The sequence below is a fragment of the Homo sapiens genome, chromosome 18, assembly GCF_000001405.40.
Source record: "Homo sapiens chromosome 18, GRCh38.p14 Primary Assembly".
Classification (NCBI taxonomy): Eukaryota; Metazoa; Chordata; class Mammalia; order Primates; family Hominidae; genus Homo; species Homo sapiens.
Genome location: NC_000018.10, coordinates 49639126 through 49657163, shown reverse-complemented (window position 1 = coordinate 49657163; position 18038 = coordinate 49639126). Strand labels below are relative to the sequence as shown.

The 18038-nt window shown below is 46.8% G+C and overlaps 2 long non-coding RNA genes and 1 pseudogene across 2 annotated transcripts in view; all 3 read right to left on the bottom strand.

Annotated features, from left to right (window-relative positions):
• The window catches only part of LOC105372112 (uncharacterized), a 127792-nt gene that overhangs the window by 83320 nt on the left and 26434 nt on the right, over nucleotides 1–18038 (bottom strand). The window lies entirely within an intron of this gene.
• Nucleotides 3689–6650, bottom strand: LOC112268210 (uncharacterized). The gene is made up of 2 exons (XR_002958207.2): nucleotides 6405–6650; nucleotides 3689–5565 (listed from the first exon to the last, which is right to left on the bottom strand). It is a non-coding gene; the product is annotated as an uncharacterized LOC112268210 (long non-coding RNA).
• SMUG1P1 (single-strand-selective monofunctional uracil-DNA glycosylase 1 pseudogene 1) lies at nucleotides 6002–6814 on the bottom strand (annotated as a pseudogene).

Below are 18038 nucleotides of genomic sequence, written 5' to 3'. Positions count from 1 at the left end.
TTTGTTTTATGACTTGACTAAACAGGAGGAGAACAAAGATGATGCAAAAGGAGAAGTCAGGGACAGCATCTAGATTCCTGAAGGAGAAAGGGGTCTGCTTCTGGCCTTGGCAGAGGTGGCTTTTCCTCACAACTGTGTTCTTGATCCTTTGGAACATGGGACAACCATTGGGGTCCCTGAGGCTGCTATAGTCACATGTCTTCTTCCACTGGAGATACTTTCTTTACCTTGTGGTCTCTTCGTTTTGATGCCTCAGGTAACACAGGCCAGGACTGCCCTGGAAATGAGAAAACTGAAGGGTCAATGCCTCATCACAAGTGACAGCCATGATTGAGAACACAGGGCTGTCATATCTTCCATTTCATCGAGAGGGACTAGAAATTCAGATTTTTATGCAAAATCTTCCAGTCTTCAAATACTGTCATGCAATAGTGCAGTGGCATAATCATGGCTCACTGCAGCCTCAACTGCCCCAGCTCAAGTGATTCTTCCACCTCGGCCTCCCAAGTAGCTAGGACCACAGGTGGGCATCATCACACCCGGCTACTTTTTTTTTATTATTTGTAGAGACCAAGTCTTGCCATGTTGCCCAGGCTAGTCTTGAACTCCTGGGCTCAGCCTCCCAAAGTACTGGGGTTACAGGTGTGAGTCACCAATTCAATTTTGTTTAAAAAAATTATATAGACCACAAAACACAACAGTGGCCTGGAGGTGGCCTGAGGGCCGCCACTATGCAATCACAGCTTTAGATCATGAGCTTGTGTTCCTTTCTGACTCACTCTCCCTGCCTGTGAAGCGGCGTTGAATATCTCACACATCTGCTGGGAGGCAGAAGAATTAGACCGTGTGAGGGATTAGGCTTATCAACTTCAGGATCTACCGAAACAGAGTGGCGTTACTGCTGTGGGTTATTAAAGCCATCAAGCCTGCGGTGCAATATCCCTTCATGAATCTTTGTTGACACCGCCAACAGTGCAAGTCTCTACACTAGAGTGCAATTCAGTTACTCACATTACTCAGTTATTTAGCTGAAACTCACTTATTTATTTCCCACAGCACCTAACAGTGCCTGACTCACAATACATAATCTGAAAGTAGTTGCTGTAGGTGACGTTAGTCATTTATTCACTCATTAACTCCACTAGGATTTTTTTTCCTTTGGTACCAATTATGTGCCTACTGTTGCCCGGGGGCCACTATGGAAAATACCCAGCCTCAACCGCACCCAGGTGACCATCCAGGTGTGAAGAACACACGGACCCCTGAGCGCTCAGTGGAAAGAGGACTGTCACTGCCAAGGAAGTAAATCCAGCTGTCCAGGTTTGCCTGGAACTGAGGAGTGTCTCAGAATATGGGACTTCAAGTGCTGGAACCAGGACAGTCCAAAGTAAAGCAGGATTGCCGGTCACCCTGAGTAGAATAACTAATAGTCACAAACATAGACTCAAAATCAGACATCGCGCAGTCACCCCTTTCCCACTGTCCTGGCTGTGTGATCTTAGACAAGTTACTTAACCTGTCCAAGCCTTTGTTTTCTTAGTTATAAAATGAGAATCTATCTTGTGAAGTGCTTTGAAGGACTAAATGAGAAAATACTCACTGTAAACATTCAATAAATGGCAGCCACCATCATCGGCATGATTCCTGGTAAAGGGGGAAAACTGTGGTTCTCCGACATTCCCAACACATTGTGTTTGTCCTTTTGTGGCGGGATCCTCAAGACCCAGCAGCTGCTCTCATGGTAATAACTCTGTGGCCTACTCCTCTTGGGGAGGACAACTCTGATCTGTTTTCTGAGGCTGGACGCAACATGAAGGAGGTCTTAGAACATTTTAACCAATTAAAGAGCTGAAAGGAGAAGTCAGTTACAATGGCAAGCAGCTACCTGGGTGATAACGAAATCCACGCACAATCAAGATATTCCACCTTCGTAGCAGGGATGTCTGGAGGGGCTGCAGAGTCCCCCCTTCTGCCCTCTATATTCCAAATGGGTTGTAGGCAGCACATACAAGACAACAGGCAACATTTTGACCCCTCCCCAAATTAAAAACCAAGGACATAACAATCCATTGAGAACACTCAGAGTGCCCCACCCTGGCAGTTGCTGTATCCTCATCCCACACTCCTGAGATATTGTGGTTCTCTGCTTCTCATCGCTCTCTGGCACCACATCTGGCTGTGGTCCTACCCCCATCATGTGCCACCCCATCCTTAACAACTATAACCTTTCTTGACATTTTTTTTCTTTGAGACAGAGTCTCACCCTGTCACTCAGGCTAGAGTGCAGTGGTGCAATCTTGGTTCACTGAAACCTCTGCTTCCTGGGCTCAAGCAATCCTCCCACCTCAGTCTCCTAAGTAGCTAGGACCACAAGTGTGCACCACCACACCCAGCTAATTTTTCTGTATTTTTTGGAGAGACAGGGTTTCACCATGTTGCCCAGGCTGGTCTCGAACTCCTGGACTCAAGCAATTCACCCACCTTGACCTCCCAGAGTGCTAAGATTATAGGTGTGAGCCACCGCACCCAGGCTCTTGAGTGACTTTTTAAAAATAAATATAATACAGCTGTTTTATATTATCTTATTATATTTTATTATCTTAATGTATTTTTTAAATATTTGAAATTTTAAAATATTTATTTTAAAAATAAATATAATGCAGCTGTATTATATCAAATATGCAAAAACAAGATTGTAAAAATTACCTTTAAAATTCTTCCAACTAGGAATAAACATCAAAAGAACTTGATATCTACCCTTCTAGAAGCATCTCAATCAATAGATAGATGCATAGATACATACATACATACATATTTACATGTATACACACATACATACTGTGATGGTTAATAAAGGGTGTCAACTTGATTGGATTGAAGGATGCAAAGTTTTGTTCCTGGGTGTGTCTGTGAGAGTGTTGCCAAAGGAGATTAACATTTGAGTTAGGGGACTGGGAGACGCAGACACATCCTCAATCTAGGTGGGTACCATCTAATCAGCTGCCAGCGTGGCCAGAAGAAAAGCAGGCAGAGGAACATGGAAAAGCTAGACTGGTTTAGTCTTCTGGCCTCCATCTTCCTCCCATGCTGGATGCTTCCTGTCCTTGAAAATCGGACTCCAGGTTTTTCAGCTTTAGGATTCAGACAGGCTTCCTTGCTCCTTGCCTTGCAGATGGCCTATTGTGGGACCTCACCTTGTGATCGTGTGAGTCAATACTCCTTAATACACTCCCCTTCATATAGTCATCTATCCTATTAGTTTTGTCCCTCTAGACAACCCTAATAAACACACCCATATACTTGCATACATACATACACACTATGGTATCCATTCCTCCCTTCGTCCTTACTAACAAAACCTCAGTTGTACCCAAATAAAAATTCTGATTTTCCAAGTTTCCCTCATAGCTACGGAAGGCCAAGAGATGTATCTGACCCTAGAGTCGTAAGCATTCATTTGCTGAAGATTTCTCAGAAAGTTTTTCTTTTCCTAAGTGCTTCCCCTTCCTTCTTGTTTTTTCCTTTTTGTTTCCCCAACTGGAATATTTAAACAGTGTATACTTTTTGGAAATGCCGAGGCTGGATACAACTATGACAAACATCCTGAACCTGAAACTTTGCACACATCCATGTTTATTTAATAGAGTAACTTCCTAGAAATGGAAATTGCTGGGACAAAAGACATGCATCATTTTTTCATATTTTTTATTGCAAAATACTGTCAGGAATTGAGTAGCAATTCAGATTCCCATCAGGAGAATGTGAGCACTTCCCTCACCCTTGCACATGCCCCTGCTACATTTTTGCTAGTTTAATAGAGAGAAATTGTATCACAGAGACTTACATTTCTGATAGTGTGGCAGACTAGGAAACATAGAAAGCTTTCTGCTCTAAAAACACCTAGAAGTGGTAGAGAAAAGGTAATGAACAGGCTTTCAAATGCACTAACTGAGCTTTGCTAAAGAAAGGGAAATCCTGCAGCCAAAAGGAAAGCAAAGCAAACTGAAACCAAAGAAGCAGGAGATCGTGGGGGCAGCTGCACTGGATGCAGGGGAGGTGGAAGGGGAGAGCTGCCAATCTTGATACCTAAGAAGCTTTGGATGTAATGGCCACCAACAGGGACAGGAGCTGAGGCCTGGGCCTAGGGCACGCATGCGTCAAAGCTGTGAATCCTGCATACAGCCAAGACCTTCCAAGGCTTCCACTCTACGGAAAAAAGTGACAGAAAAAACAATCTCCTCACTTGCAATGAGAGATAATGAAATAGCTTATCTAGCTTGTCCAGGGCTCTAGATAGAAAACATATCTCCCCTGATCATTCATGAGGGCTCTGCCTTCATCTAGGCCTGAGATTCAAATGTATATGATCTACAGGATCCATTAAGCTCCCACCTCACCCCAGTTGGCACGGAGACAGGGGAGGCGCTTTGTAGCTATTTTTTAAAAGAGTTTAAGGGTTTTTATTTTTATTTATTTATTTATTTATTTTTGAGATGGAGTCTCACTCTGATGCCCAGGCTGGAGTACAGTGGTGTGATCTCGGCTCACTGCAACCTCCGCTTCCCGGGTTCAAGCGATTCTCCTGCCTCAACCTCCTGAGCAGCTGGGATTACAGGCACCCGCCACCACACCCAGCTAATTTTCCTATTTTTAGTGGAGATGAGGTTTCACCACGTTGTCCAGGCTGGTCTCAAACTCCTGACCTCAAGTGACCCACCCACCTCAGCCTCCTAAAGTGCTGGGATTATGGGCGTGAGCCACCAGATCTGGCTGGGTTTAGGAGCTTTTAATGCTTAGACTAGAAAAATCACAGGCTGGGTTTGTCATAAAGTCATTGGTCCATCTCTGACAGGGAAAGAATTCGCCCCTCACTTTGGCCACAGGTGGGAGCCCAGACTCCTCCCTAGCAGGGTCTCCTGAATGGAGAGGGGCTTTCCTCATAGCACAGTGCGGTGACTCCCCAGCCCCGAGGTAAGAAAGCAAGAAAGCAAAGCCATGAGCCAGGCCTATGCAAGACAATTTTTTTTTTTTTTGAGAGTCTCGCTCTGTTGCCAGCCTGGAGTGCAGTGGTGCGATCTCAGCTCACTGCAACCTCTGCCTCCCAGGTTCAAGCAATTTCCCTGCCTCAGCCACCCAAGTAGCTGGGACTACAGGCACACGCCACCACACCTGGCTAATTTTTTGTGTGTGTATTTTAGTAGAGATGGGGTTTCACCATGTTGGCCACGATGGTCTCCATCTCCTGACCTCATGATTCACCTGCCTCGGCCTCCCAAAGTGCTGGGATTACAGGCATGAGCCACCGCGCCCGGCCAAGACACTTTCAAGTGTTGTCTCCGTTGCCTTCACACAAACCCCAGGAGGGAGACAGCCCCCGTTTACAGAGGAGCAGCCTGAAGCCTAGTCTTCATCAATTTGACCATCATAAAGCTCACAAGTCGCAAAGCTGGGATGAAAATCCAGGTCTTCTGACTTTCACTCTGCCGCACCGAATTCTTTGAGCCAGCCTCAGCCTCTCATGAGAAGGTCACTCTGAATTTCTTGTCCCATGCTTTGTCCTGGCCCCTATGAGGAAAGGGGTTAGCTGAAGGCAGCTGTTCTATAAGGATGGGTAGGGTTCCTGACAAGGTATTTCCTCTGAAAAAGCAAATGCGACCTTAGCAGCCAGTCTAGGGAGCTCCCCATTGAATAGAGACTTCCGAGGAAACGACGAGGTAGAAGCATCTGAAGTGCAACAGTGCACCTTCTGCTGATTCCCTCCCACAGAAAGGGCAATGCTCAGGGAAGGTGAGGAAAGCAGGACTCAGCACGGCAAACAGGAGTGGGGCAAAACTGCCACAGCAGGTTGGAAGACAGTTCAACAGATCGAAGGGTATGTTTCCCGGCAAGCAGGGAGCCCAGGAGGACCTCTGGCTTCAGTCCAGGGTGTGTTGTTATCTGCTTGCCCAAGAGTGACTTGGAGGCCTTGAATGTGTCCCATGCCAGGCCCCAGGGGCACTCATTTCCATAGCCGCGGCAGCAGCCCCAACTCACTTGGTCAACTCACTTGGTCACTGCCTATTAGCCCTGTTTTCCTGTGGGTTACGGGGAGAGAGATGCAGGAGCCCCTCCACCTGGACCTCTGGCATCAGGCCTGCCAAAGCCATTCGCGCCCACTACTGCCCCAGCCGGGCCACTCCCACCCCCAGCCGAACCCCCAGCCGCCGCACCTGCCGGCAGAGGGGACACTAAGATCCCAAGAAGCTGTTCTTGCTGCTTGGCAGGAAGCTCAGCAGGAGTGAGGTTGTGTTCTCTGGGAGCCAGGAATAGCAGAGAACACAGATTGTGGACAAAGCAGTGAAAGGAGAAGACCTCAGGCTTTCCACAGAGGTTCTGGAAAAGCCCCAGAATCGGGCACCACTCACCTCTCACTGAGCACGCCAGTCCCAGCACCCCAGTCCCAGCTAAGACAGTGCTCTTGGGGAGGGGTTAGCACAGGCCCTCCAATGCCCAGCCAGTCCCAGACCATGTTCACTTCCTCAAAGGGCACTCATGTCTGGGCCATGCTAAAAGGTCCTGGGTTCGTGCCCAGGAAGAGCACTTCCTTGGGGCCCTGGCAGCAGCGAGTCACAAAGTTACGATGTGGCTCTTATACAATACTCCACGGGATTGTGAATGATGCGTGCAGACTCCAAAAACTGCAGTTGGTTCAGCTCAGCATTGAGCCAAACTCCTCCTCCAGGAAGCCCTCAGCCAAGCCTTGAGGGCAGGGCGGGGGCTCTCTCTGGGCACCTGCTGGCTCATGCAGGGTCCCTAGTGAAAAAGTCTGGGGCATGGCCACACTTTTGTCACCTGGTCCAGCACCTCCTACTTTTTTTGGAGGGGGCAATACATTCCCCATACCATTAGTGCACAATTCAGCAATTTTTAGTGTATTCCTGTGACTGTACAACTATTGCCTTTATCTAGTTGCAGAAAATTTTCATCAGCCCCCAAAGAAACCCCATACCATTAGCAGTCCTTCCCCTTCCCTCTTCCCCTAGTCCTGGCAGCCACTGATCCACCTTCTGTCTCTGTGGATTTGACTGTCTATTCTGCACATCTTGTATAAATGTAGTCACGCAAAATGTGGCCTTTGTGTCTGGCTTACTGGGCTCAGTGTAACATTTTCCAGGCTCATCCATGTTGGAGCATGTAGCAGTACTTCTTTCCTTTCTGATGGCTGAACAGCATCCCACTGTATGGATAGCACACCTTTTGTTCATCCATTCATCACTGATGGACAATTGGTTTTTTTCTACTTTGGGTTTTTTTTTTTTATCGAGATGGAGTCTCGCTCTGTTGCCCGGGCTGGAGTGCAGTGGTGCGATCCCGGCTCACTGCAACCTCCACCCCCTGGATTCAAGCAATTCTCCTGCCTCAGCCTCCCAAGTAGCTGGGATTATAGGCACACGCCACCATGCCCTGCTAATTTTTTTTTTTTGTATTTTTAGTAGAGATGGGGTTTCACCATGTTGGCCAGGCTGGTCTCAAGCTCCTGGCCTCGTGATTCGCCTGCCTCGGCCTCCCAAAGTGAGCCACTGTGCCTGGCCCTGTAGTGGGCCATGATGAATAACGCTGCTGTGCATATTTGTGTACAGGTTTCTCTGTGCAAATATTTTCTCCCATTCAGTGTTTTGTCTTTTCACTTTCTTATAATAGTGTCCTTTGAAACATGAAAGTTTTTAATTTAGATGATGCCCAACTTACTTTTTCTTTCATCACTTGTGCTTTTGGTGTCACATCTAAGAAACCATTGCTTACTCCAAGGTCTCAAGATTTACCCCTACATTTTCTTCCAATAGTCTTGTAGTTTTTAGCTCTTCCAAAATGTCTTTTGATTCCTTTTGAGTTAGTTTTTATAGATGGTGTGAAGTAGGATCCATCTTCATTCTTTCACAGTGACATCCAGTTGTCCTGGCACCCTTTGTTGAAAAGACAAGACAATTTCCCTATTGACTTGTCTTGGCACTTGATATTTATATTCAATGCGACTGCCAGAGGATGCAAAAGAAAGCCAAAAGCCAAAGGAAATTTAGGATTCATTAATAACCATTCCCAGGGTGTCAGTGCTTCTTTTCTGGGACAGACATGTCCATTGGGCACCTCCACCACCCCTGAGCATTGCCACTAGGGGCAGCTCTGCCAGTTCTCTTTTTTTTTTAAGCTGTACCTGGGTGTAAAAGTTAGTTATGCTTTAATAGCTGTACTCACAAAGCTAGTACCGGAATTGTACAGGTCTTTTCGGCACCAGTAGTAGGTATTTCTCTGAATCACTGGCCATTTGCTCCTCACAAACTATTTTATTTATTTATTTAGAAACAGAATCTCACTCTTTTGGCCAGGCTGGGATACAATGGCACAATCTTGGCTCACTGCAATCTCTGCCTCCAGGGTTCAAGCAATTCTTGTGCCTCGGCCTTCTGAATAGCTGGGATTACAGGCGTGTGTCACCATGCCTGGCGAATTTTTATATTTTTTGTAGAGATGAGGTTTCACCATGTTGGCCAGGCTGGTCTTGAAGTCTTGGCCTCAAGTGATCTTCCCACCTTGGCCTCACAAAGTGCTGGGATTACAGGCGTGAGCCACGTTGCCTGGCCCTGCGTAAACAATTTAAATGCTAGGACAGTCCATCATTTCAGCAACAGCTGACCTTTCCCTGAAAGCAGCTGTTCCCAGCTCCATGAGTGTGGAGTGACCTCAGCAGACACTGGGCCTAGGCCATATTCACTGGGGAGAACACAGTGGAAAGTCAGGCTGCCCCACTTCTGCAAGACAGCTTGACTTGGGTGAAGCATATGCACTGCTGGGTAACTGGATTTACTGCTACGCTCCCGGTTCCTGAGTCTTTTCCCTTGTCAGGGCCATAGGCTTGCAATGGCCAAGTCTTCCTGGATTGCTTTGGGAAACATTCATCACTTAGAGACTTCCTAGCATTTTGCTTACAGCTTTACTATAGTGTTGAACAGATTGAATTGTAACACAATTAATAGCTAACATGGATTGAGAATTTATTATGGACGAGGCATTGATCTAAGAACATCGCCTGTGTTATGACCACATACTGCGTTTATGTTCACTTTACAAATGAGGAAGGAAACAGAGTGTTTAGGTAACTTTAGAAAGATCACGCAGTTCATAGGGATTTGGACCCCTGGAGCCTGGCCCCAAATCATTAATCATTCACATACTCAGATTGTGAGTCATGGAGGACACCATCTGCCTCTGTTGCTTTCCTCATGCCCACAAAAAACTGTCTGAAAGCTGTTCACCGATCATGAACGTGATCAAAAACTATCTTAGTCCATTTGTGTTGCTATAAATGAACACCTGAAGCTGGGTAATTTATGAAGAAATTACCCACAGTAAAGTGCTTTTTCCCTTTACTCATGGCTCATTTAAGCAAAAATGTCTACATTGTGAGGAATGTCTACAATGAGCATGGGCTGCTCTGGGTCTTTGGATGTGCCTCTTGCCCATGTCAGATTCCTGCACATGGCCCCGGCCCCCAGGGCGCCAGCAGGGTTATAGCCAGACCCACTGATGACTGTGCCTCACCAGTAAATATGCCAAAAGCAATATGCAGGTGCCACTAAAGGCTGTTTGCATGACCCCTGGAGGTGAGAGACAAGCTGAAAAATGCCATTTCAGGATACCCGGGATATTTCAAAGGTATATGGGGACAATAGGACAGAATATTTGAAATCAGGTTTTGCTGAGGAGATCTTGACTGTGAAGTCTCCATAAGTTGCTAGGCCAACAACTTGATTTAATGAAGCTTCGAGTAAAAGAATAGTAAAAACATAAACTGGCCTCACCACAGCACAAATTTCCTCCAAAGAACTCCCAGCTCTGACTGATGTTTTATCACCCTTATCATCAGAGGACACCTACACACCACAGAGAAGGCTGCTATTTTGCTGTAGTTTTAGTTAGCAAGTGTAAGGTTCAAGAAGGATAATGGCCCAAGGTCACAGAACCAGCTTCCAGCAGAACTGGCCTCATGCGCCACTCAATGCACCTGCACCGTCTGTAGAGCCCATTGCCATTTCCTTGTTCAGAATTTGATCCTCAGTCAAAATCAGGTGACTGGTTTAAACTTTGAAACTTTGACACGTGGTATTAAAGGCTTTTAGCATGTATATGGTAGAGCAGTTGTTCTCAACTGGAGACAATTTTACTCCCCAGGGGACATTTGGCAATGTCTAAAAACATTTTTGGTTGTCACAATTCAGTTTGCAGGGTGCTGTGGCTGACTGCCACTACTACTACTTGAGACCGTCATTACAGCAGTCACTACTGTTACTGCTTGCAACCTTCATTACAAGACTGAATGAAGGGACAAACATAGAAATGATAACAAAAAAACAAAATAACTATTTTAAGGAAAGGCAACATGGGGAAGAAGAGAGCTCCCTGCTTCTAGTGAGCAAAGGCAGTTCCTGAGCTTCTACGGCCCTTTGTATTTATTGGGTAACAAGAGCAAGGAGGAGGAGGTAATGATTGATCAGCTGCTTAACTGATCACAGGTTCATATTGTTCCTGACAGGCTTCAATTATGCCTAATCATAAGAAACATGTGTGCGGCCTCCAGCAGGGTGTTGCTATTGGCATCTGGTGGGTAGAGGCCATGGATGCTGCCAAATATCCTGCAACACACAGAACAACTCCCCACAACAAAGAACTATGCAACTCCAAGTGTCAGTAGTGTCTCGTCTCTAGATCCCAGAGTATGGGGGGTTAGGGTAAGAGGGGATATAAGGGGAGTCATTCCAGATTAATCCAAGAAGGGGGCAACTCCAAATTTCTGCCTTGGGTCCAGGCCAGGGAGACAATTAACAGCCAGCTTTGGTTTGCTTGAGTGTTTACATAAAAAGGGGATTGTTTATGTTCTTCAAAAGTCCCATGGAACTGACTCTGCCTGCCATTGCCAAGGAGGCCTGTCATCCTAGAGCAAGCATATTCCTCCCTAAGGAAGCGAGTCCTGGCTGCCGCTCCTCCCCAGCCCCACGCAGGCTGATGCTTCATCCAAAATGAAAGTGCCCTGGGACACACATGGAGAACACCCAAACCTTCGGGATCCTCCCCCGCTCTTCCTATTGCAGCTCTCCCCAGGGACAAAGGGACATTGCTCAGATTGGATTCTGCCATAGCCTGGCTCAGAATCTGTCTCACGCCCCCTCAGTGGAGAGAGAGGAGTGGCCTGGATCTCGAAGATTCCTGTGGAAAGCATGCCCTTCTCCATCCTCCGCCTCCTCACGCCCGCTGTTTCTGACCTAATTCCCCTCCTTGTGACCTACTTCCCGTGGCATGGAACAAGAAGATAGAAGATAGGCATCACATGGTGGGGGAAAGGTGGTGGGGGAAAAGTTTGCTACAGACCTAATTTGTTAGGCAAGTCTATCGCAAGGAAAATAATTAGTAAATTAATAAATGAGGATCCTATTCTACCTTAAAGTCAACTCCATCCTTTATCTCATAGAATAAAGGTTTAAAATTTTTTAGGCATTGTCTTCCATAAATATATAGAAAAAAATTTCTATTCTCATAGGTATGTTTAATTTTGACATCATTAGCATTTCAGGCCAGATACAATGTATTTCAGATGAGAAATGGTGTCACATTGGGTAAAGATGCTTCATGCTAGCATCATGGAGGCAAATTTTTCTTCCTTGCTCAGGTCCTCATCCAAAGGGCTTTTTCCATACTCGTTCACTCAACAAACACTGGCAGAGCTCAGGTGAGTTATAGGCCAGGGCTACCAAGGTAAGCCATAGGTCTGCTCAATGGGGCTTACAGACCAGCAGGGGTGACCGACCTGTAAGAAGTAAGAGTGGCCTTTCGGAACTGCAGAGAGCTGAGGTTTACTAGCAGGCAGGCATGAGGTGGGGAGCACCACATGATGTTGGAAAGGCAGGCAGCACTAAGGATTGGGCTCTTTTGTTCTGAGGAGCCACAGGACCATAGTAGGAAAGAAAGAAAGTGATCAGAGTTGCTTTTTGGACTGCTGGGTGAAGACTCTTCTTTTTTTTTTTTTTTTTTTTTTTTTGAGATGGAGTCTCACTCTGTTGCCAGGCTGGAATGCAGTGGTGCAATCTCGGCTCACTGCAACCTCCACCTCCTGGGTTCAAGCAGTTCTCCTGCCTCAGCCTCCCAAGTAGCTGGGACTACAGGCGCGCGCCACCATGCCCAGCTAATTTTTGTATTTTTAGTAGAGATGGGGTTTCACCATGTTGGCCAGATGGTCTCCATCTCTTGACCTCATGATCTGCCCACCTCGGCCTCCCAGGTGCTGGGATTACAGGCATGAGCCACTGCGCCTGGCTGAAGACTCTTCTATTGCAGCCAAGGCCCTGCCACTTCCCAGATGAGAGACCACATTGGCCTGAAGCCCATGCATGCAGGGCCCCCTCTGAGACTCCAGGCCTGGCTGCTCCCAGCTTCTTCATCAGGGTAGACTGGAAGGGGGTCAGCCCAGGGCAACAAAGTCAGTTCGGATGCCACCATAATAATTCAGACCAAAGGAAAGAAATGAGTCTTAGTGGGACCAATTTGCAGGTAGTTGAGATAACATCCTAGGAACTAGATGCTAGTTGAAGCAGGGGTCAGGGATCTCTCTTTTTCCTGATTTGGGCAAGTGGCGGAAGAGACTGGGTGTTCTGTCTCCCTGGATATGCGAAAGGCAGAGCAGTTGTGCAGAAGAAAATGAGGTCACTCAGGGATGTGATTAACTGGGGGCCCCATGGCTTGGTGAGGGGGCCATGAAGCAGACATCCCAGAACCCAGGACTTGGCCAGAGAGTGGGAAATGCTGGACTCGGGAGTCAGACGGCCTGGGTTCCCCCTGCAGCCCTGTTATCCTAGTTGTGCCTCACATTCCTCAAACACTCGCTGCCCAAAGTGCCCATAAGGAGTAGAGGATAATACCTGTGCAGTGCTTACATGGCGCCCAGGCCAGCACAAGGTAGGTGCCCAGTGAACATTAGCTGTGGTTATTTCAGGAGGTGCTTAATAGACTAATTTGTTGGATGAGACCAAGACTGTCTCAATGAAATTAAAACCAACCATAAGACAGGCAAGACTCCAAAGGACAAATACTATATGACTCCACTTATATGAGATACCTAGAATAATCAAATTCATAAGGAGAGAAAGCAGAATGGTCATTGCCAGAGCTGGGGGAGGGAAAATGGGGAGCTGTTGTTTCATGGAGGCAGAGTTTCAGTTTGGGAAGATGAAAAAGTTCTGCAGATGGATGGTGGTGATGGTTGCACAGCAATGTGATTGCACTTAATGCTTCCTAACTGTACACTTAAATTGTTCATATGGGGCTGGGCGTGGTCACGCCTGTAATCCCAGCACTTTGGGAGGCCGAGGTGGATCACGAGGTCGGGAGATCAAGACCATCCTGGCAAACACAGTGAAACCCCATCTCTACTAAAAAAAAAAAAATACAAAAAGTTAGCTGGGCTTGGTGGCATGCGCCTGTAGTCCCAGCTACTCGGGACGCTGAGGCAGGAGAATGGCATGAACCCAGGAGGCGGGGCTTGCAGTGAGCCGAGATCGAGCCACTGCACTCCAGCCTGGGCAACAGAGCGAGACTCCGTCTCAAAAAAAAAAAAAAAACATTGTTCATTTGGTAAGTTTTACATTATGCATATTTTACTATAATAAAAATTAAATTTAAAATCTTCAAAAAAATATAGAGCAGCTAAGACAGCTTTGGGAAAATGAATGGAATGAGATGATAAGAGGACAATTGAGAAAACATGATAGAGAGGAAGGTGCTTTCATTCAAAGCTCAGTGCAAATAAAATTTATAATTAACAATGTGGTCCACTAATCATCAGGGAAATGCAAGTTAAAATCACAATTAGCTATCACCTCACACCGGTTAGGATGGCTATGATCAAAAAGATGAAGATAGGACATGTTGGAGAGGATGCGGGGAAAAGGGAACATGTGCACACTGTTGGTGGGAATGGAAATGAGTACGTCCATTATGGAAAACAGGTACTTCAAAAAGTTAAAGATAGGACTACCATATGATCCAGCAATCCCACGACTAGGCATATAGGCAAAGGACATTTTAGTGTCAATTTATTTGACCATTTTTATTTGCCAATTTAAAAAATAATTTTCTTAAAAAAAGGATATGGTCTGGTTCTAACGCTTTAAAGACTCGTTTCAAAACTCCATGTTCCCTGGCTTTGCACACTAGAGTTCACCAAACCAGGAGCTGATTGATACGTCAGAGAGATCTGCATGCCCATGTTTATTGCAGCACCATTCACAATGGTCAAGATATGGAATCAACCTAAGTGTACATCAATGGATGAATGAATTTATAAAAAAAAGATGTTGTTATATATACACAATGGAGTACCATCCAGCTTTAAGAAAGAAGGAAATCCTGTCATATGTGACAACATGGATGATCCTGGAGGATATTACATTAAGTAAAATAAGCCAGGCACAGAGAGACAAATACCGCATGACCTCTCTTATATGTGGAATCTAAAAAAGTTAAACTCATAGAAGCAGGAAGTAGAATGATGGTTACCAGAGACTATGGTAGGAGGTTTGAGGAAGGTACTGTTAGACAAAGGGCATAAAATTTCCATTACACAGGAGTTCAAGTGTACCATGTGGTACACTATTGTACCACATGGTGACTACAGTTAATAACAATATATTACATACTTGAAGATTGCTGAGAGAGAAGAATTTAAGTGTTCTCACCACAAATAAACATGTGAAGTAATATATATGCTAATTAGCTTGATTTAATCATTCCACAGTATATGTTTTTTTTTTTTTTGAGATGGAGTCTCTCTCTGTTGCCCAGGCTGGAGTGCAGTGGCACGACCTTGGCTCACTGCAACCTCCGCCTCCCAGGTTCAAGTGATTCTCCTGCCTCAGCCTTCCGAGTAGCTGAGATTACAGGTGCATGCCACTATGCCCAGCTAATTTCTGTATGTTTAGTGGAGACGAGGTTTCACCATGTTAGCCAGGCTGGTCTCGAACTCCTGACCTCAAGTGATCCGCCCGCCTCGGCCTCCCAAAGTCCTAGGATTACAGGCGTGAGCCACCGCGCCTGGCCAATGTATGCATATTGCAAAACATCATGTTATGCACCACAAATATATACGATTTTTGTCAATTAAAAAATAAATAATTCCCTTTTAAAATAATATGTTCTGATTCTAAGGCTTTAAAGACTCATTTCAAAACTCCAGGTTCCCTGGCTTCACACACCAAAGTTCATCAAACCAGGAGCTGATCATTTATGCAGTTCTGGGCCAATGCTTAATGCTGGGCATGTAAGCACCTCCCATGTGCGTAAGAGCAGCCCCTGCTCTTACTGTAGAAGAAGCTACAGTCTACAGCAGATGACATAATAAAATGAAGGAGAATGTGTTTCAAGAACCATGAAGCATTATAGAGATCATTGTAGAATACAGGCTTCTGGATAGAGACTTCTGCTTCCTCTCTCCATCTACAGAACGCCAGGCACCCCTGGGCTGGCTGGTCCTTCATTTGCCTTCTCTGTTAAACTGGCTGCTAGACCTGGGCATAGGAAGGTGCCCTCTCCTGCCACATTCTATGAGCTTAATACTCCCGCCCCACAACATATGTAGTGACACTTGTCCTCTTTGACACTGGCTGAGCCCACTGAGGTTCTTCCCCAAGACCACCCCAAAACACACACACTCCTCCATTTTTCCCTCCAATCAAAAAATTTAACATTTATTTACTCCAACTAATAACTAGCTTTCCTCTCACTTCAAACATAGCTGCTGGTGTGGGCAGCTACCTGGTCACCTGCCTACATGTAGGTCACTACTGACCTTTCTGAACACAGAAAGGTTCGAGGCAGGGTCCCATTTCCTGTGTATTTCTGTACAGCTGTCCCCAAGATACAAATCACATCACCAGATCAAACTGCCCTCTTTTCTTTCCTCTTCTTCTGCCCCTTGGCATTCCCCTTTCCTATTCAAAGAAGCCCCCTGAAGCTGGGGGCCTTCAGTTCCCACTGAGTGGAGGTCCAGGCAAAACCAGCTTCACTCTGGCCCTGCCCTCAAATCACACTCTGCTGCCGCAGCACGAGGAGACCCGGAGGAGCCCCAGCCACACCCACCTCCCCAGGAATGCCGGCCCCACTGACCAAGCAGAGGATAGGAGAGGAAGAGAACTGTCTGTCTCTCAATGGACCCCCCTATAACTTGCCCCTCCTGGAGGAAGAGGAAGACAAGCCTGGTGCTGGGGTGCCCTCGGGGATATTTCATGATCCTTAGCTCCATTCACCTGCTGGCTCCTCTCACCCCTCCTTCAAGCCCAGGCCAGGCTGTTTTCCCCTTTCTCAGCTCCCATGATGCACAGCTTCCCGCCAGCATGCTTCCAGGGGCAGCTCTTTGGGCTACAGCCTGTCTTGAGAACAAAGGGGCTAGTGGCATAGAAAGGGGTCTGGGAGCACTGGGGAGCTTCCCTCTGCTTCCCTGGGTGAGGCCTGAGATCTTTGTGAGCTGAGCTGCTGAGAGCCACCTACCCCAATGTGAGGGCACCCTCTTTGCAACAGACGCTGCTGTACCAGGTGGCACAGCCAGGGCAGGGGGAGGAAAAAGGTTGGCAATGGAGGCAGGATTGTAAGGGTGGAGCAATCTTTTCTGTTCTGGATAAAATGTAAAGAGGAAAAAATCCCATGAGATCATTGCTGCGGCTATGACCAAAATCTGGGAAGCCCCTTCAGTGAATCCTGAGTGTCCTTCAATTCCTCAGCTTCCTCCCCATGGCCCAGGAAGTCAGGACCCGGCCTGGACACTGCAGCTTGGCCACTCCATGCACTGCTGGTCAGAGCCTGTGAGGAAGGGGCATGGTGAGTCAGCAGGGGACCCACAGGGACCTTTCTGGGTTCTGCTGACTCAGAGTTGGATCTCATCAGCCTCTCATCACGGTGGCCTTGGGCCAGCCGGAGCAGAAGAACAGGAGGTTCCTGTTTCCTCAGTTCCTTTCCAGAAAGGCCCCAACACCATCATTCTCCTCCTCCTCCCTCTTCCAGCCTCCCTCACCCTCCTCATCTCCACCCTTGCCTTTAAGAGAACAGCACCGTCACTAAAAACGTGATGATTCAAACCACGCTGGCAGCTCAGATGTGAGGCTTGGATAGCACCGAGAAGGAAAGGGCTTACAGTGCCCCATCCCTGCTCAGCGACGTGAACAGGAGTGGCGTGCATCCATAACACAGCAGAAAACATCAGAACATGACCAGAGGCTGCGGCAAACATGACAGGGCCCTTCCCCATGCCCCCTGCAGCTGTGCGCACTGGCCAAGCTTCCCAAGCTTGAGTTCTGCTGGAAGGACCAGGTGGGGAGCTGGGAACCACAGGTGGTGCTCTCACAGAGCCAAAGCAGCGACAGCTGACCCTACACCTATCATGTCCACCCAGGGAGCAATAGGGTAGAGAAGGCAGAGGATCTGAGGGGATAAGAACTGGGTGCACCCCCAGTCCTGCATCTCCTGCGTAGTGTGCCTTGAGTCCTTCTAATTTATCTGAACCCCGTTTCCCATGTGTACAAAACAAGACTAATAAAAACTCACAGGTTTATTCTGTGAAAAGACAGGCAAAATGTTCCCCAATGTTGGTTATAATTACGGCAATGATTATCCAAATGCTTGGTTAATCAACATGTATGTATCGATCACCTACTGTGTGCCAAGGACATTATGTACATTGCTTCGTGTTATCTTCACAACAACCTCAAAGGAAGACAGCATTGTTCCCATTTTAAGGATGAGGGCAGGAGGCTTTGGTTAATCATTTGCTGAAAGTGACACTGCTAATAAGTGACAATGCACGTGCAGGTGTGGGGGCCTCCAAGGCCCATGCTGTTTGCACTGCAGGACTCTGTCCCAGATCTCAAGGACAAAAAAAACACACAAGAGACAGATACAGGTGGATAGGACAATTAGAATGTGGGTAATACCAAGGATAAGGTGTCACACTAAATGGTCCCAACGCC